Source organism: Homo sapiens, chromosome 10, assembly GCF_000001405.40.
Source record: "Homo sapiens chromosome 10, GRCh38.p14 Primary Assembly".
Taxonomy (NCBI): domain Eukaryota; kingdom Metazoa; phylum Chordata; class Mammalia; order Primates; family Hominidae; genus Homo; species Homo sapiens.
This window is the reverse complement of record NC_000010.11, coordinates 26,248,409-26,269,250: the sequence shown is the minus strand read 5'-3', so window position 1 is coordinate 26,269,250 and position 20,842 is coordinate 26,248,409. Positions and strand designations below refer to the sequence as shown.

At 41.1% G+C, this 20,842-nt stretch overlaps 1 protein-coding gene across 2 annotated transcripts in view; it reads right to left on the bottom strand.

Moving 5' to 3' along the window:
* Positions 1–20,842, bottom strand: part of GAD2 (glutamate decarboxylase 2) — an 88,187-nt gene that overhangs the window by 35,308 nt on the left and 32,037 nt on the right. For both annotated transcript variants that reach the window (NM_000818.3, NM_001134366.2), the window contains exon 9: positions 78–132. In NM_000818.3, coding sequence (NP_000809.1) covers positions 78–132 — 55 coding nt within the window. The remainder of the gene's footprint in view (positions 1–77; positions 133–20,842) is intronic.

Sequence of the window (20,842 nt, the reverse complement as noted above, 5' to 3'; positions counted from 1 at the left end):
AAAACCAAAACACATTTTGTTCTCCGGTGGATGGAAATAGAAATATGGGCTGGATAAAGCTCCCGGCAGAAACTTACTTTCTGTTTGGCTTCAAGAATCCTTCTTTCAAGATCAGATGGAATCATTTTCCCTCTGGAAGGAAAAAGAAATATAGATTTGCTTTGAATAATTTGCTTCATCGTCTTTACAACGTAAGTGGCCGCAGGAGGGTAAAGTCCAACCCCAAACTGTTGATAACAATACTCGGAGAAAACAACTCCTTGACTGCTTCCAGGAAGGATGCATTTACTTGCCTGGATGAGGCATGACTATCATTTCTGGCACGTTTTGCAGACTTGTGACCGTATTGTGTTGTTCCCTATAGAACGATTACCATGACCCTCTGCTGTGCACAGAAGCTTCTTATTAAGTCATCCTCTTAATTCAGTTAAAACAAGCCTGATTTGGAGCAAAATGTTTGGCAATGAAAGGAGAGTTCAGAGAAACCTTTTTATTCCAAACCTTTGAATAAACCGACCTGCAATTTCACATACCAATGAAACAGCAGGAAGAGAAAATCCATTCTGAAATATCTGGATGAAGATACTAAGTGAAATAGCTACCTAATGACATTCCAAGTGCTAAAAGCGTAAAGAAGGCCAAAAATTCATGGGCTCAAGTTTCAAACATCCTTTCAACCCTAAAAATGCTTCTTTCCTAAAATAAAAACACAGATACTGCTTTGCTTAATATTATAATAATCATGGTACGAGAGACAGAGAAACATTTTTTTTTTTTTTTTTTGAGACAGAGTCTGGCTCTGTCGCCCAGGCTGGAGTGCAGTGGCACAATCTTGGCTCACTGCAAGCTCCGCCTCCCGGGTTCACACCATTCTCCTGCCTCAGCCTCCCGAGTAGCTGGGACTACAGGCGCCCGCCACCATGCCTGGCTAATTTTTTGTATTTTTAGTAGAGACGGGGTTTCACCGTGTTAGCGAGGATGGTCTCGATCTCCTGACCTTGTGATCTGCCTGCCTCGGCCTCCCAAAGTGCTGGGATTACAGGCGTAAGCCACCGTGCCCGGCCCAGAGAAACATTCTTTAAGTCAAAATAGCTCTCTGGAGGTTGCTAACATAGCCAACTTTGCATCAGGGTCATTGATCTAGGTTTTTAAAAGGCTTTTTGGAAAAATAACTGATGGTAGAGGTGATTATCACAATCAGTGGTTGTGGGATGCTATTGGCATATAGTGAGCAGTGAGTGGGGTTTTTGGTATTTGTCATTGACTCCATAGTACCTTTGTGGCTCTCCCTGTGAGTCTAGACATACAGCAAGCACTGGACTTCATCACAGCTTCTAGTGCTGTCTTGCTTAGGCTTTTACATATTGAAATAAGTTAATTTATTACAAATTACTTCTATCACATTTCTTCATTTAAAAAAATAATTTGGGCATTATATAGTGAGAAGGGTAAGTTATATTTTTGACCCTTTTTTTTTTTCAGGCCAATAAAGGAGGCGTGACAAAATAATTGGAATATAAAGCAGACATGAAACCTCAAAGCATTGGGAATCACTGATTTAAGTGAAGCTGTTTCCCAAAGAAAGACAATTACCTGGGCAATGGTAATGGACAAGTTACCAGTGATTAGTTTGTCAGGCTGGAATGGAAAAAGGGGCATTACAGTTACATTTGATGCAAAGACTATGGACTTAGATTAGGGCAGCCTACCTTTGGGGAACTTCTGTGAGACTGAGGGGAGGGAAGGGAGGGTGATGTGGTTGAGGAAAGGACACAGAGAGCTTCTCACTCCTTATAAATCTTCCTACACTTCATAACTTTGCCTGGGGGCATCCCTTAAAGCAGTGATTTTCAACCTGATCAGATCAGGCTGTGCTAAAGCACCTTGCTCCAGCCCTGATATAAATAAAAAGTTCAAATTTCTGAGAAAGTGTGGGTATTATCTTTATCTTTTACATAAAGTTTAAAGCACATTAAAATTGCCATAGTATTTTTGCAGGTAAACAAGAAAACTGAGAGTGAGAACTCTTAGAAATTTTTTTTTGCAAATCTTGAATTTTACCCAACTTTACCAAAAGCTAAACACCTTTGCCTGGGAGAATTTTGGGTAGACTAGCTTGACAATCATTATTTGCTCATCAAATCATATCATACTTAACTTTTTTTAAGTATAAGGCAGTAAGATGGCACTGAGGAGTCAGAGATGAGAGTGCATTCAAATTGGAAGGGGCTCCAAGACATGCCTGATTCTAGTCGAACCTTCTCATTTTTCAAATAAGGCAACAGCCTGAAAGGAGAAGTGACTGCCCAAGATCAAATACTGGTAAAAGTCCAGGGAGTAACTCAAAATATAATCTAAGCTTCCAGAACAAACTCAAAGGTGCCAAACATATAGGAAACCTGTTTGGAAAGGTTTGATTATTTTAAGATAAGATAAATATTTTAAGCTCACATCTGACTTTCATGAACCAGAGGTGTCATACAAACCTGCCGGGAAAACAGTAATGAACATATAGTCTGTTTCTTTCCTGTATCAGCGAACTTTGGGCAGAAGGAGGGAGTAGGCTTGTCAAACCATGAACTCCAAGTGTTCACCTCTGGCAGATTGGAAAGGAATGGGGGTGGCTCTAGTTTTTCCTGGGCACTCTGCCTTCCAAAACTATATTTGTTTTCTCTACTTAGGACCCAGAGCCTGACATATGGCAGGTGGTAGATAAACATTTGTTGGAGGAATATGGCTAGAAGGGAAAGTTTAACCCAAGGCTATTAATATGTTTAACTTAATGTCTGACCAGATAGTGAATATGGACGCCTTGGGGGAGGAAACTTACCATCTTTTTCTCTATCTTAGAATTGGCCGGATTACCTTAGAACGCTGGTTCTTAAAATTTAGTGAGCATAATAATCATTGAAGTCCCGGTTTAAAATACATGGCCCCATTCTTAGGGATTTTGATTGAGTAGGTCAGCATAGGGCCCAGGAATTAATTCATCCCACAAATATTTATTGAGCACTTGCTATGTGCCAAGCAGTGTTGCAGGAACTGGGGTAGCAGGGTAAACAAGACAGCTTCTACTCTCCAGGGTTTCCATGCTATCAAGGGAGACAAATAATAAACTGATAAAAAGACAAATATGCACAAGAATTTGCATGTTCATCAGTCACCCAGGTGATTCTGATGCACGTAGACCTGGGTCCATATGTTAAGAAAAGCTGCTTGGGACATTTTAGCCTGGGAGGTATTTAAATAACTGTGGAACACACTAAGTACTTCTCATATGTGCCATGGTTTGGAGCCTTCAGGGCTGCAGGGCAGTGAGCAGAAGGAGCTCCAGATGTAGCCTTGTCCATCCTCTGACTGCCCATATGTTGCGGGGACAGAGACAATTGGGTGACAACCAACAGATTGTCCTCTGCAGATGAGAAGCTGTTGGATCAGTCCTGGCCTTTCTGCACAAGCATCGCCTGGTGCCTGGGAGGCTTTGGATGGCGACTGTTCCATACTCTTTGTGTGGTCTAAAAGTATGTCTATAACGTAAGCATATATCTTTAATAATTATACATCCAGCCTTTAAGCTTACAGTTAAGTGGCCACTGATGCTTTATAACACTGCTCTCAGTTAGTTGTTAGTGTTTAGGAAGGGACTGCTACTAAAGTCAGGGCCATTGAAACAGACTGCTGCTTTGGACAAGGTGTTTTGCATTGAGATCCTTGGTTAGCAGTAGCCTTTAAGAAGTCGTATGATGCTGGCCATACTCGGTGGCTCGCACCTGTAATCCCAGTAATTTGGGAGGCTGAGGCGGGTGGATCACGAGGTCAAGATATTGAGACCATCCTGGCCAACACGGTGAAACCTCGTCTCTACTAAAGATGCAAAAATTAGCTGGGCATGGTGGTGCACACCTATAGTCCCAGCTACTTCGGGTGGCTGAGGCAGGAGAATTGCTTGAACCCGGGAGGTGGAGGTTGCAGTGAGCCGAGATTGTGCCACTGCATTCCAGCCTGGCGACAGAGTGAGACTCCGTCTAAAAAAAAAAAAAAAAAAGTCGTATGATGCTATAGGATCAGATAACTCCCTTAAGTTGACTGGAAAAATCCCAGGAAGAACAACAGGTAGAATCACCAGCAGGAAACATCTTCTCTTTGTGGGAAGAAGCAAAAAGACACAGAATGTACCTTGGACCATGGTCCCAGTTTCATGCCTAATTCCCCATAGCTCCAAAGGGAAGAACTGATTATCTTACCAAAGAAAGCAGGTTACTGGAGAGTCTGTATTTCTAGGCAGGCTTGCAGATGGTCACATGTAGGGTGCCTGAGTCACTAGTTGACCCCGTTCATTGGCCCTGCTGAAACTAGAGATACTATCAGCCTTTCCTAAGTGAGTAGGGCTTAGCTCTATTCCTAAAAACGTGAGTGCAAAGAAGAAAGTATGCGTACATCCTTCCTGCTAGAAATTGACTAAGTTTACATAATAGCAGCACTATCAGCAGCAACGATAAATGACCAGTTTTAGAAGCAGTAACTGTGCGATCCCTGCTCCTCCTCCCGACCCTACAAGAGAGTTATTTTGCACTTACAGTGCAGATTAGGAAACCGAGGTTCAGAGAGGCAGTTGACTATGGTTAAAAGCTTGAAATCTGGGCCGGGCATGGTGGCTCCACGCCTGTTATCCCAGCACTTTGGGAGGCTGAGGCCGGCAGATCACCAGGTCAGGAGATCGAGACCATCCTGGCTAACACAGTGAAACCCCGTCTCTACTAAAAAAATACAAAAAATCAGCCGGGCGTGGTGGTGGGCACCTGTAGTCCCAGCTACTCTGGAGGCTGAGGCAGGAGAATGGTCTGAACACGAAGGCAGAGCTTGCAGTGAGTAGAGATCGCGCCACTGTCCAGCCTGGGCGACAGAGCGAGACTCTGTCTCAAAAAAAAAAAAAAAAAAGCTTGAAATCTGGAGATGGAATAGTGGGTTCCTGCCACAGATCATATATGCTAACTGTGTGTACTTGAAGTTTAAGTTCTTCTTTTTACTCATTTATAAGATAATAGTATTTGTCTCAGAGGATTTGTATGAGGGTTACATAAGATAGTAAGTATAAACAATATTAAGCAAACTCTGCCTAACATTTGGTAACCACTCAATGTGTGTTTGACAGTCTAACATTGTTACATTGTTATTAGCAGTAGTATTGTTATTGTTGTTATTAGCATTATATGACTTGCAGAATGTCACACAGCTAGCAGGAGGCAGATTTCAAATCTAGAGCTGTCTGATAACAAAACCTAGATTCTTGGCACTGTACAACTACCCCGACTTAACAAAAAAACTTTTCAGGTTGACTTCTAGGATTGTAATGACATATGCAAAATGTCCATGTGGTTTTCTGGAAGCCCCCTGGATTGAGCGGTCCAGTGACCCCAATTACTGCTATCAGCATTGGCTAGTAAATAATAAAAGCACGTAACCTCACCCTAAAACATATTTGAGGATGTTGTTCTACCTAGTGTAGCATTCAAACGCAATAGCAGTAAAAAAAACCTGCTAGTTGTTTGTTTATATTTGCTTTTTAACTAGTCAGTGCTAGGCAAAACTATCCTATCAAGATGGCAAGGAGAGTTAATGGATGCAGGTGAATTTTCAAATTGCACAGACTGCGTAGTGACTACAGAAACTGCATAGACTGACTTGGGGAAAAAATTGTTGAAGATGAATTGCACAGGAGCAGTAAAAATTACCAGAGATTTCTCCTGGGGAAAAGAGCTCCCCGTGTCTTTACATAGCTGATACCAACATGGGTAGCCTGTCTTAGGCCCCTAAGATAAATAAACTAACAAAAGTCAAAACTGACCATTTAAGAAGTACTTGTATTACAAAACCAGGCCCTTTGCAAAGAATTTTACCATAATTATAAATAGTGAACTTCCTATTTGCTATAAATAGTGAATCCAAATACATAGTTGGATTTGGAAAAAGAACTTTAACTATAATGATTAATGATATTTTTCTCTTTTAGGATTTGTTTTCCAATGTGCACAATTGAATCACTTAGCATTATTTTCAGGTTATAAGAGAAGGATATTTTGGGTGATTTTTTGTGTATAATTCTAGTAATATTTATTCTTCCCATTGACTTTCTCCAAAAGCATTTACTTAGCACACATACTATGACTATACAACAATGCAAGTGATGTGCAACTGAGACTCCAATCATGATATGGTAAGGAGATATTTTCTTTTGTATATGAAACCTCCTTACTGCTGCCCTTGAAGGGTAGTATTAGAGCTGACAGGGAGGTATATGTATGGGCAAGAAGGTGTGCTGACCACCTCACATTACTCCTCCTTCTCCCCAAACTACCGTCCCTCTTCCCTAAATGTATCTGTAGAGAGGAAAAAAAAAAAAGGATTATGATAAAAGGTTCAAGTTATCATGTAAGAAAACATGCTTGGCTACTCTAAATAAATAACTTTGGAGTCCAAGAGGAAATCAAGATGGCAGTTACAGAACATTAAAAATTAATGACATGAGAATAAAACAAAAACATGAGAAGCATCCTAAATCATTCTCAGAGGAAAATGTATAGCTCTGAGTGCTTCTGAAATTAAATAACAGAGAATAAAAAGAACTAAATTAATTAATCCAAAAAAGCTAGGGAAACAACAGTGTAAGCAGAAACAAGGAATTTTTTTTTAGTGAATTAGAAAACTAAATAAAAAGTAAACTTAATAAATTCAAAAGATGGGACATTGAAAATATCAACAGATACACAAATATCTGATTAGTCCAATAAATAAAAGAGAGAAAACGTAACATTTGAAATGAAAGAGATGTTATGAATAAAGATATTTTAATATTTTAAAGCATTCTATGTAAAGCTTTATAATAATCTTAAAGTTTTTGAGAAAATAAATAATTTTTCCCTGGGAAAGGTAAATTACAAGAATTGATTCAATAATATATAGAAAAATTGAAAAAAAAAAAAACTAATAACCAAGAAATAAGTGGGAGAAAAGTTACCAAAAATCTGCCCCCACCTCAAAATGCCAGGCCCAGATAGTAAATTTTAGCAAGTTTACTAATAACATATAATGCTCTTTAAACTCTTATAGAGAAGACAATGGAAAGCTGCAGAATGAATTTTCTGAAGCTAGATAATTCTGAAAGCAAAACGTGTCAGAGATAGCCCAGAGAAACCTATAGATACATTTTACAAATGTAGCTATAATAATCCTAAATATAATATTAGAAATTATAATCCTGAAGGAAATTCAAGATTCGCATTGCATCAAGTAGGATTTGTTGCAAGAATGCAAAGGTGTGTACTACTAGGAAATCCTTTTAGCACAACTCATCTTATCAATAGATCAAGGTTAGAAAATTATCTCAGTGTCAATCTCAATTGATGTCTAAAAGGCATTTTATGAAAGACAACATCCATTCCAGAAGAGAAGGAAGTGGATGAGGAGAAGGAGGAAGAGAAGAGGGTGGGAAGAGAAGAGAAGAAACAAAAGAATTCTTGGTAAATTAAGAAGATACTTTCTTAACACGATAAAAACATCTACTTCAAACCAAGAGTCAACATCGTATCTAAATGCAAAAGCCTAAATACATTTCCATTAAATTTGGGACAAGAACATTCTTCTTAAAGAGATAGAAAATTCTAACTGACCAATAATGAATAAGGGAATTGAATCAGAAAACAAAAATCTCCCATCAAAGAAAAGCCCAGGACCTAATAGCTTCACCTGGATAGTTCTATCACACATTTAACGAAGGATTAATAATAATCCTTCTCAACTTCTTCCATGTAGTTGAAAACGAAGAAATACTTCCAAACTCATTTTACAAAGGCATTTTACAAGGAAAGAAGGAGGGAAGGAAGAAGAAAATATTACATACTTCCCAAACACCATAGACCAAAATACATTTCAGTTAAGTCAACTACTTAAATAATAACACAAAATTTCTAGGGGAAAACAAATGAATATTAACATGTTCTAAGAATGGAAAACATTTTCTAAAGACACTAAAGGTAAAAAATAAGTAATTGATGATCACTCTGACTACCAAAAATTGAAATGTTTTAAAAGATACAACAGATGAAATAAAAAAGCAGGTGATACATTTTAGAAAACATTTGCAACATACATGACAAAAGAGAGTTTTGTTTTCTTTTTCTTTTTGAACTATAAATAACTGATAAGTATAAAATACTCAACTTTGCAAGGATAAATGCTTGAGGGGATGGATACCCTATTCTCCATGATGTGCTTACTTTGCGCTGCATGCCTGTGTCTGTCAAAACATCTCATGTACCCCATAAGTATATACACCAACTATGACCTACAAAAATAAAATAAATACTCAGCTTTGCTAATTATCAAACTGTAAATGAAAACATGAATAATAAAAAAGCTCCATCCATCAGATTGACACACATCACTTAAGGTTTTAATTCCTAGCCTGAGTGAGGACATAGTGGGTAGGCACCCCTTTATAGTACTGGGGAAGTGTAAACTGGCTGAGTCTTTTCTGAAGGCAACATGACAGCAAGTATCATAACTCAGCATAGACACAGTCCTGGGCTCAGAAATTCTACGTCTGGAAAGTTTTTTTTGTTTTCTTGAGATGGAATCTTGCTCTGGCACCCACGCTGGAGTGCAGTGGCTCGATCTTGGCTCACTGCAACCTTCGCCTCCGGGGTTCAAGTGATTCTCCTGCCTCAGCCTCCCGAGTAGCTGGGAATACAGCCACGCGCCATCACACCCAGCTAATTTTTTATTTTTAGTAGAGATGGGGTTTCACCATGTTGGTCAGGCTGGTCTCGAACTCCTGACCTCAGGTGATCTGCCCACCTCGGCCCTCCAAAGTGCTGGGATTACAGGGGTGAGCCATGTACCCAGCCGGAAGTTATTTTAAGAAAATAATACAAGGATATGTGCAAATATTTACCCGCAATAATGTTTATAATAGCATTTTTTAATAGTAAAAGTTTAAAGCAACTTAATGTTTAACAACAGATTTGTTAAGTAATATAAATTATAAACAGTGGATTATTAAATAGTGAATGAGAATTGTATTGAAGAATTTCTAAGGCATGCAAGTCGTCCATAATATTTGCTATGTAAAAAACAAATTTCTAATCAGTAAATACTTATAGTGTCTTTTATGTTAAGTAAATACTTATATGTCTTTTATGTTAAAATATATGTAAATATATTTTAAACTACATGCCATCAAATACTATGACAGATTATATCTAGGTTCTTTTATTTGCTTATTTTTCTACAATGAATATGTGTGGCTTCCGGAATAGGAGAATTATGTTGTCATTCTTATTTTTAAAAAGCAGCCATCTCTTATACAACAAAATACAAATTAACTCAAAATACATCAGAGATCTAAATGTAAGAACCAAAACTATAAAACTCTTAGAAGAAAACATAGGACAAAACATTCATAACATTGGATTTGGCAATGATTTCTTGGACATCATACCAAAGGTTCAGGCAACAAAAGAAAAAAATAGAAAAATTTGACTTCATGAGCATTAAAAACTTGTACAACAAAAGATACTATCAACAGAGTAAGAAGGAAACTCACAGAATGGGAGAATATATTTGCAAATTATATATCTGATAAAGGATTAATATCTAGAATAAAGAAGTCCTAAAACTCAACAACAACAATAACAAAACCAATCCAAAAGACCTGAGTAAGCATTTCTCCAAAAACAGTATACAAATGTCCACTAAGCACATGAAAAAAAAATCCTCAACACCACTAATCATCAGGGAAATGCAAATGAAAACCACAATGAAATACCACTGCATACCCATAAAGAGGCTGCTATGAAAAACAAGCAAACGAACCAAAAACCCAAAAAATAACAAGTGGTGGTGAGGATGTGAAGAAATTGGAACCCTGTGTACTGCTGGCAGGAATGTAAAATGATAAACAGTTGAGGAAAAAGTATGATGGTTCCTCAAAAAATTAAAGATAGAATTACCATGTGATCCAGCAATTCAACTGTTAGGTATCTACTCCAAAATAATTGAAAGCAGAGTCTTGAAGATGTAATTTTTCAGCCCATATTCATTGCAGCGTTATTCCTATTAGTCAATGGTGGAAGTAAGGCTGGGCACAGTGGCTCACGCCTGTAATCCCAGCACTTTGGGAGGCTGAGGTGGGTGGATCACCTGAGGTCAGGGGTTTGAGACCAGCCTGACCAATATGGTGAAACCCTGTCTCTACTAAAAATACAAAAATTAGCTAGGCATGGTGGCGTGCACCTGTAGTCCCAGCTAAGTACTTGGGAGGCTGAGGCAGGAAATTCGCTTGAACCTGGAAGGCAAAAGTTGCAGTAAGCCAAGATTGTGCCATTGCACTCCAGCCTCGGTGACAGAGTGAGACTCTGTCTCAAAGAAAAAAAAAAAAAAATTGGTGGAAGCAACCCAAGTAAGTACGCATAAATGGATGAACGGATAAACAAAATGTGATCTACACATACGATGGAATATTATTCAGCCTTAAAAAGGAAGGAAATTCTAACACATGCTACAACATGGATGAACCTTGAGGACATTGTGAAATAGACAAGTTACAAAAAGTCGAATCCTGTATGATTCCATTCATGTGAGTGAGGTACCCATAGTAGTAAAATTCGTAGAGACAGTGGAGTGGACGTTTCCTGGGGATAGTGGGGAGGGGGTGGTAGGGAGTTAGTGTTAAATGAGCACGGAATTTCAATTTTGCAATGTGAGAAGAGTTCTGGAGATGAATATTGATGATGGTTGCACGACAATATGTGTATTTCACACCACTGAAATGCACAATTAAAAATGGCTCAGATCGGAAATTTTATGTTATGTGTATTTTATCACAATAAAAAAGGAGCTCTGTTTAAACTAATGAACACTAAGGGTTCTCTTCTGAGTCCACACCCTGACTCTTCACTTACAAGCCATGTGATGTTAGACATATCCCCTGTGAGGGGCTATGATAGAAAACTTGTCATACTGTTTAAAACTGTTGTTTGTAAACTATGTTAGCACCAGATAAATGTGAAAGAATATACTATTTTGTGTCTCTAATTAAATGAATTAATTAGGTCAATTTTGTAAAGTGGCTAGAGCTGTGCCTGGCACGGCATAAACTCTCAATCAGTGTCAGCTGTTATTATAGTCCTTCCTGAGATAGGGCAGAATGAAGTACACACAGGACTAGCATCCCTGAGTTCTCTGCATCTACACCCACAGGAAATATGCCACTCAGAGGGCTTCCCACAGCCCTGCTCAGGAATAATCGATTCGGTGTCTCTGTGAAGTCTATCCCACTACAATGCGCTGAACAGCTTCCCAAGGACCCGAAAGAGTTAATTAGCATCCCTAACGACCCCTCAGGCACTGGTTACAATTCAGCTAATTTAACAAAAGAATATAATGACCCCAGGTTATTTATACTTTCAATTGTTTAAATCAATTGTATGATAAAGTGTGGTACTAAAAAGCACAGGGAAGTGTAGTCTAACTGTAATTTATAAAGCTGGAGTGATACGTTTAAAAGAAAGGCTAAAATGTATATAAATGTACTAGTAGCTAATACCTACTAGTAGTAGGTATAAAAGTATTAATCAAAATGGCTAACAGATTTCTTGTGTTACATGGGAGCTAGGAAAGCCAATGACTCTTGTAGTCCTATGCCACTAGGTATCATGCGTCTTGGTCAGATTTATTTTCTGTAAGGTTTTACAACAAATTATGAGTAATTCAGATAATGGCAGGGGTACCCTGAGGGGAGGAGAAAGAGGTGAATGGAAGAGAGCAGGGAGAATGAGTGGAAGAAGGTGCTAGAGCATATTAATTTGTTCTTTTCTTGAGACGGAATCTCGCTCTGTCTCCCAGGCTGGAGGGCAGTGGTGCAATCTTGGCTCACTGCAACCTCTGCCTCCCGGGTTCAAGTGATTTTCCTGCCTCAGCCTCCCAAGTAGCTGGGATTACAGGTGCCCACCACCATGCCTGGCTAATTTTTGTATTTTTGGTAGAGATGGGGTTTCACCACGTTGGTTAGGCTGGTCTTGAACTCCTGACCTCAGGTGATATGCCTGCCTCAGCCTCCTAAACTGCTGCATTACAGACATGAGCCACCGCACCCAGCCGAGCATATTAATTTCTAAAAATAGTTTTGAGTCCATACTGATAATAAATGAGAGACAGCAAGAGAGAGAACAAAAAGACAAAATCTCTTCCCTACAGTGGAATGAAAGGACTAATAAATACAGAAGGAATGACGGAGTTAGAAAATTACTGTTCTGCAACCATCACAACAATAATTCAGGGAAAAATCATCAGTAGATGCTAAACTAGTGGGTGAACATTTCAGAAGCAACGGGGTATTTATGCTGACACAAAGCATCCCCTGCAAGATACTTATTAACTGCAAAGGAGAAAATAGTCATTTCATAGCGGAGTGACCTGGCAGACACTGCCTTCACCAAAAAATCAAAGTTGATATTACTGATAATGAGACCAACCTCCAGATGAGATGCACTCAAGAAAGCCAAACTTCACCTCCTGAAAGTCCTAAGCCAAATGCATCACTTGAATCTAATCATGGGAAAACACCAGATGAATCCAAATCACCTGCAAACTAAATGGTCTCTACTCATAAAAAACATCAATGTCATGAGAGACAAAGGCAGGCAGAGGAAACATTGCAGATTAAAGGGGACCAAAGAGACATGACAACTAAATGCCACGTGTGATCCCGGACTGGGAAAGATAGCTATAATGGATACTATTGGGACAACTGAAGAAACGAATAAGGTATGTACATTTAATAATAGTATTCTATCTATGTCACATTTCCTGATTTTCATAATTGGCCTGTGATTGTGTAAGTGAATATCCTTGTTTTTAGGAAACATACATTGAGATATTAAGGGGTAAAACAGCGTGATGTCTGCAAGGAGCTTGCAAATGGTTCTCTCTCTATATATATATATAATATGCATATATACATACATATATAATTAATACATACAATATTACACTCAATATGTAATATTGGATTTTATATACAGCATATATTGAGAGAAAGCAAATGTGTCAGACTGTTTATAACTGGTGAATCTGAGTGTAAGGTATATGAGCATTCTTTTTACTATTCCTGCAATTTTCCTTTAAATTTGAAATTATTTTAATAATACAATGTAAAAAAAAGTTGGATGAGCTAAGGTCTGAGCACCTTTCCAACTCTAAGGGTGTCTGATTTGAAAGTCATTAGCAGCTTGTCAACATAGGCTAAGCCCAGGCTGGCCCCTCCCCTCCTTCCTCCCCATCCCTCCCCAGTCCTCCTTGCACCTGCCATCACACATCACTCTCCCGTTGCTTTCTCCTCTCTGTTTCCTTCCAATTTTAGGATTTGAAATAATTTCAGAGTTTGTGTGAGCTTCTCAGGGAAAGATCCTACACAATTTTAGTCAAAAGACTAGGAAACTCAATAACGAAAATTAAACCTTTGCGATTTTTTATTTCCTTCCTTCCTTCCTTTCTTCATTCCTTCTTTCCTTGCTTCCTTCCTTCTTTCCTTCCCCTTCCCCCTCCCCTCCCCTTTTCCTTCCTTCCTCCCTCCCTTCCTTCCTTCCTTCTTTCCTTCCATAATTCACATTTCCTCTCTAGTGGGTCCTCCACCTCATAGCGAAATGGGCAGTAAGCCCCTCTCCTTTAAACAACAAAGCCAAAAGCCACCCTGGATTCAAAGCTCCCCTCCAGCTTCAGCCCTGCCTCCTCCCCTTCACGGCTCCACCTCCTGGACCTTGCCTGTATTAGTTCTCCCTTTTCTCATCTACCACTCACCTCACCCCAACCCACTGCAAATTGCCTTCTGCCCTCACCCCTCCACTGAAACTGCCCTTGCCAAACTCATCAGCCGCCTCCTTAGAAGTCATGCTGATGGGCAGTTGTTGGCCCTCATTTCACCTGTTGTAGCATTTGATTCAGCTGACCACTCCTTTCTCTGGAAACACTCTCATGGCCCTCGTGGCCCCGGTTTCTGATTCTCTGACAACTCTGGCTGCTCCTCCTCAATCTCCTTTGTAGGCTGCTCTTACTCTGCCTGTCCCTGAAGTGTGGATGCTCCTGAGAGTTCCTTCCCAGGCCACCTTCTGCACGGCCTCCCTAGTGTACCTCCTGAGCTCCAGGCCCATACTTCCACCTGCCTACCAGACACTCTCACTTCGGTGTCTCATAACCTCGTCAAACTCAGTATCTCCAAATCTGAATGGTTCACCTCAGACAGGGTCCCTTATCTCAGAGAATAGCAACGCCTGGACTTAGCTGGCAAGCCAGAAGCCTGGCATTCATCCTTGCCTCCTGTCTCAACCTGCACACCAATCAGCCAACACTTCCTGTTCATTCCAGCACTCCCTGTCCCTTGCTCTGCATCTGGTCGGCCCGCTATTCATCATCTCCCATTCATATGACTACAACATCCACCAACTTCCAGTCTCTCATCCCGCCCACTCTGCATTTAAAATAATCTTTCTAACACAAAAATATGCTGTTGTTCCCCTGCTCAAAACCCTTCAGTGATGTCCCATGTCTTTTAGTCAGAAGTCCAAACGGCTTAACATGGCTCATAAGGCCCACATGACAAGGACATTCTGACCAAGTCCTCTCTTCTTTTCAGTTCCTTGAACAAGCCAGGTTCTCTCTCACATCCATGGTTTACAACAGGGGTCCCCATTACCCGGGCCACGGACCAGTACTAATGGTGACCTGTTAGGAACCGGTCACACAGCAGGAGGTGAGCCCTGAGCCAGCATTCCCGCCTGAGCCCCGCCTCCTGTCAGATCAGCAGTGGCATTAGATTCTCATAGGAGCAGGAACCCTGCTGTGAACTGCGGATGTGAGGGATCTAGGTTGTGTGCTTCTTGTGATAATCTAACTAATGTTTTGGGAGGTCGAGGCGGGCAGATCACCTGAGGTCAGGAGTTCAAGACCAGCCTAGCCAACATGGTGAAACCCCATCTCCACTAAAAATAAAAAAATTAGCCAGGCGTGCTGGCGTGAGCCTGTAAACCCAGCTACCCAGGAGGCTGAGGCAGAAGAATCACTGGAACCTGGGAGGCAGAGGCTGCAGTGAGCTGAGATCGTGCCAGGACACTCCAGCCTGGCGACAGAGTGAGACTCCGTCTCAAAAATAAATAAATTAATTAATTCAATTAAAAGAAAAGAAAAAGAATCTAACTAATGCCTGATGATGATCTGAGGTGGAACAGTTTCATCCTGAAACCATCTGCCACCCCCGCCCCTCACAGCCCTGTCCGTGGAAAAACTGTCTTCCATGAGACCAGTCCCTGGTGCCAAAAAGGTTGGGGACCTGGTTTAGAATGTGCTGTGGCGTCTGCCTGGGACATTTTTGCCTCTTCTCTTTATCTGGATGACTCCCATAATCCTTCCCCTAGTTGCAGAACTGGATGTGAATCAATAACAGCCAGTACTTTCTCTATCATGGTGCTTCCCTTCCTGTGCTCATCTCACGCTAGACTGGACTACATCCACCATGTCTGCCATTGTGTTCCAATCAAGACCACTGCCTGCAGCCAAAAGATGGAGCTCACAGGAGCTCACTTCCATCATATAGGAACTCCCCATCCTTCCAAATTATCATCCATACAATAGAAATTTTCTCTCCTCTTCCCTTGACTGGATATTTGGGAAACATCTTTTTGCTCAGTGGCCCAAGCAAATTCTGAAATATTGCTCTGTTTTCTTTCACAAATGTTTATTTTCCTCTCTATATTAATGCACTTTTCTTTTCTATTCTTAGCTACAGCTACACATCATGAATCTAGATTCCACTAATTCAAATTTTGCAAATATGAATGACATGAATAAAAATTCATCAACCTCATCACTGAATATTCAACTTTTTGTTAACAAGGAAAGGAAACCTCAAGCTGTAACTTATGAAATCTTGTATTCACCTAACACATTTTCTTCTTTCGAATTTAATAAGTAATTTTTACAAAATAGAATATTCCTGTTTAGTTATAATGCTTCACATCAAAATGAAAGCCACGAGAACTGAAGTTTTACATTACCTTATCTTATTCCATTTTTTAAGTATATTTAATAAAATTAAAATGCTTTTTAATTTTCAACTCTAAAAGAACCTAGTCCAAACAAACAAAGATTTATTATAACTTTTTTTTTTGTTTTAACTGAGAACCGTGTTTCACTTTGAACTGTCACCCAAAGTTAGCCCCTGTGACTGCTAATTAAGAAGGGGTTGGCCAGGCATGGTGGCTCACACCTGTAACCCCAGCACTTTGGGAGGTCGAGGCGGGTGGATCACCTGAGGTCAGGAGTCCGAGAGCAGCCTGACCAGCATGGAGAAACCCCATATCTACTAAAAATACAAAATTAGCTGGGTGTGGTTGCACATGCCTGTAATCCCAGCTACTTGGGAGGCTGAGACAGGTGAATCGCTTGAACCCTGGAGGCAGAGGTTGTAGTGAGCCAAGGTTGCGCCATTGCACTCCAGCAGCCTGGGCAACAAGAGCAAGATTCCGTCTCAAAAAAAAAAGAAGGGGTACCGGGTCGGGCATGGTGGCTCATGCCTGTAATCCCAGAACTTTGGGAGGCCAAGGCGGGTGGATCACCTGAGGTCAGGAGTTCAAGACCAGCCTGGCCAACATGGTGACATGATAAGATCCTGTCTCTACTAAAAATACAAAAATTAGCTGGGCGTGGTGGCACACACCTGTAATTCCAGCTACTTGGGAGGCTGAGGCAGGAGACTCTCTTGAACCTGGGAGGCAGAGGCTGCAGTGAGCTGAGATTGTGCCACTGCATTCCAGCCTGGGTGACAGAGTGAGACCTTGTCTCAAAAAGAAAAAAAGAAAAAAAAATGTACCTCGCAGGATCTTCCTCCACATGCAGCATTGGGCTTATTGCTAGAAAGACACAGACTATTCTCTTTCACTGGGACATTTCTTCTCAGTTGTGAACCTTCAACTGTCTGCAGAACATAATAAAACCTATCACCCAGCCACTGATAGACTAATGTGTGGTAGGAACGGGTAACTACAAGAATTGAAAGCCACAGAGGGCAGGTCCAGGCTTGTGTTTTGGGAAGGCTGAATGAACTTTACAAAGCGCATTACGGGAAACAAGCATGAAGACTCTCACCTTGTCAGCCTTACGTGGTGTTCTGAACTGTACATCTGACTTTTACAAGGACGTGCTAATAAAAATAAAATGGCTGCCGAGAGTGTTTTAATTGATTCTGACCCCAATGGTGGCTACAAATGATTGTCCACACCTTTCTCCTTGGCTTCTGAACCCAAACACTTCAATGTCACTTAAACCATTAGGGCCAGGCTCTCAGTCTTAAACTCATGTCACACAGATGATGTGAATTATCAATATAGAGTCAAAGATGCCATATAGCTAATAGCACAGTTAAAATTTTTTTCCAACATACTCTCATACAATGCTGCTAGGAGAACAAATTGATGAAATCTTTTGCAAGGTTAATCTGATGCATCCATTTCCTTAAAAACATTCATATCATTTCAATTAGTAAGAATAGAAAGAAATTGTCCTAAATGGAGAAGCTATGGATGCATAAGGACGTTCACTGAAGGATACAAAGGTTATTCGTAACAGTAACACAAGAAATAGAAAAATGTATAGCAGGGGACTGATATTTTGGACTTATCCCATTGTCGGATTGTTTTCAGCATTTTACATTTGTCAACACATTGAATCTTCATAACAATCCTATGAAGCAGGCGCCATTACTTTTTTGTTTTTTCAGATAAAGAAACTGAGGCACAGAGAGGCATTTGCCCAGGCTAGTGCTGGAGCTGAGATTGGAATTTAAATAATCCAGCTCCAAAGCCAGCTCCAAAGCCAGCTCTCTAAATGTACTGTAATGCTTTCTGACATATTCATATGTAAAATGTTATACAGTTAAGTGTGTTTGTGTTTGTAATCATGTGGAAAAATACTCATGTTATCATGTCTAATTAGAAAAAGAAAGATGAGGCTGGGCATGGTGGTGCACGCCTATAATCCTAGCACTTTGGGAGGCCGAGGTGGGTGGATCACGAGATCAGGAGATCAAGACCATCCTGGCTAACAGTGAAACCCCATCTCTACTAAAAAATACAAAAAAAAAAAAAAAAGCAAAAAAAAAATGCCGGGCATGGTGGTGGACGCCTGTAGTCCCAGCTACTTGGGAGGCTGAGGCGGGAGAATGGCGTGAATCCAGGAAGCGGAGCTTGCAGTGAGCTGAGATCACACCACTGCACTCCAGCCTGGGCGACAGAGCAAGACTCTGTCTCAAAAAAAAAAAAAAAAAAAAGGAAAAAAAACCCAACAAATTTCTGTGCTTAGAAAAAGAGTTTCAAAGGTTTAGACACCAATGTGGTATTAGCGATGATCTTTGTACAGTGGAACTATGATTTTTCTGTTATTTTCTTTTTTTTAAAAAAAGTGAGCATATATTGCTTTTTAAATGGTAAATATGGTCATTTATTCCTTCTAAAGCTCTCACTGTGTTTCTGGCTTCCACTCACATTGCCCTCACCATCTCTCCTCCTTGCTTTACTTTGTATTTTCCGTCACAAACTTTTTTCTCGTAGGCCTTATTTTTTCCCACCTTTTATTTCTTACTCTGTTTGCTCTTTCCCACTTCCTTCTTTCTTACTCCTGCCTCTCCCGACCCCTCCTTCTTCCCTCATCCCACAAAGCTTATGAGCACAAAGGGAGAAAGCCCCGAGCCCTAGCTGCCCAGTGGCCCATTTCCCTCTGTCTCTCCCAAGGGGTGTATGTGAGTAGACAGGGGTACTAGAGAGTGAGCCATTTTCTGAAAAAAGCATACTTTTTAGTATTGTATTTCAGTTGTTCTAATGACTTCTAAAATTGTTGAAATAAGCTGGGTGTGATGACTCATCCCAGCTACTTGGGAGAGTGAGATGAGAGGATTGTTTGAGGCTAGGAGTTCAAGACCATCTTGGTCAACATAGTGAGACTCCATCTCTATAACGAACAAACAAAAATGAGCTGGGTGTCGTAGTGTGGGCCTGTAGTCCCATCTACTAAGGAGGCTGAGAGGGGAGAATTGCTTGAGCCTAGGAATTCCAGGCTGGAATGGGCTACTGCACTCCAGCCTGGGTAAAGAGCAAGACCTCATGTCTTAAAAAAAAAAAAATTGTTGAAATAAATATCTTTGACTTTCACATTTGAGGCCCCCTGGCCAGTCACTGATCGTAGGTCCCGCCGGCTCTCCAGCATCCCCCTCCTGCCTCCTTCTCCGCCCTCCTGGTGGTGCATGGCAAACCCCTCCTGCCTCTGTCCTGGCAGCCCTGTCCATGGTCCCTTTCCCCCACCACTCCTCTGTTTTCCCTTCTTGGTCTTCCTTCTTCTAGGCCTGAACTTCTCTTGTGAGCAGAGTGTTGCCTTTAGATGGGCAGATGTCCTCAGGCAGGCCCCTTGTTCCCATGATGAGCCGCCTAGCTGGCCTGGTGGACTCATCCAAGACCACTTCTGCGGTCACACCTGATTTTCACAGGAGTAGGAGCAGTGATGCCGATGCTTTGAAGAGTAGAGTCAAGAGCCCCTACTGCTCTGCCAGTCACCTCTCAGCCCCCTGGGGTTCACTGGAGAACGCCAGCTACCAAGGCTAGCAAGGAAGACTGCCTAGGCCAGCGGGCCACGGCCCTCTAGGTGATTCTTCCCTCAACTCCAGGCTCCTCACCCATAACAGATCAACTACAGATTAAGAAAGTTTTAAAGTCATCTAAACATTTATTCTTCACATTTTTAAACTCCAGTTTTCTCTTCAAATCTCAGTTCTTAAGTACCGGCTACTGAGGAACACTGGTAGCCTTAAAAATATGAGGCAGCTCCCAGCACTTTGAGAGGCCGAGGCGGACGGATCATCTCAGGTCAGGAGTTCAAGACCAGCCTGACCAATATGATGAAACCCCGTCTCTACTAAAAATACAAAAACTAGCCAGGCGTGTTGCGAGTGCCTGTAGTCCCAGCTACTAGGGAGGCTGAGGCGCAAGAATCGCTTGAACCCGGGAGGCAGAGGTTGCAGTGAGCCGAGACAGCACCACTGCACTCCAGCCTGGGCAACAGAGCGAGACTCCATCCCCTCCCCCGCCAAAAAAAGAGGCAATTTCTTTTCCAAAATGTGTTTGCCTCACTCCCATCCTTTTATCCTTAATGCCTGTCTAATTGCTAGGGCCTCCTACTGGCCTTCCTGACTGGAGATCCTCTCGCCTATCTTGCCTCCTGAAGGGTGGCTTCACTCATGTTCTTTAATGAAAATTATTTCCAGTTACCTTGTTTCCAGACCTATCCAGCTTAAATTCTAACTTTAGCTCTCCTTGCCCCAAAAGAAAAAATAACACCATTTTTTTTTCTGATTGCAAAGCTATGTTCTCTGCCAGCAATCAAACAAAATCAGGCAATATAAAAAGGTGTAAACAAGAAAGTGGTAAGCTTCTTTAACCTCATCACCCAGAGCTGAGTGGGGCAGGGAGCCCTTTTAGTGGTCTTCAGGCAATACTTCTAAGTGTGAAAATAAAGGGAAACGAGTTCCTTCAAGGGAAATTCCAGGCACTAGCAAGACCTGAGAAGTAAACGATCAGCTTCTGAGGAAGTTAGAACCACAGGATATTTGATTCCCTGTAGAAACTAAAGGTAACATCTTAACATACATCCTTGGGCTGTTTTTCACAAACCAGGACTCCAGGACTCCCACCAAATGGATTGGCTGGTACGTAAACCTCAGATGAGGGGAAACTGAGGTCTGAACTCTGAC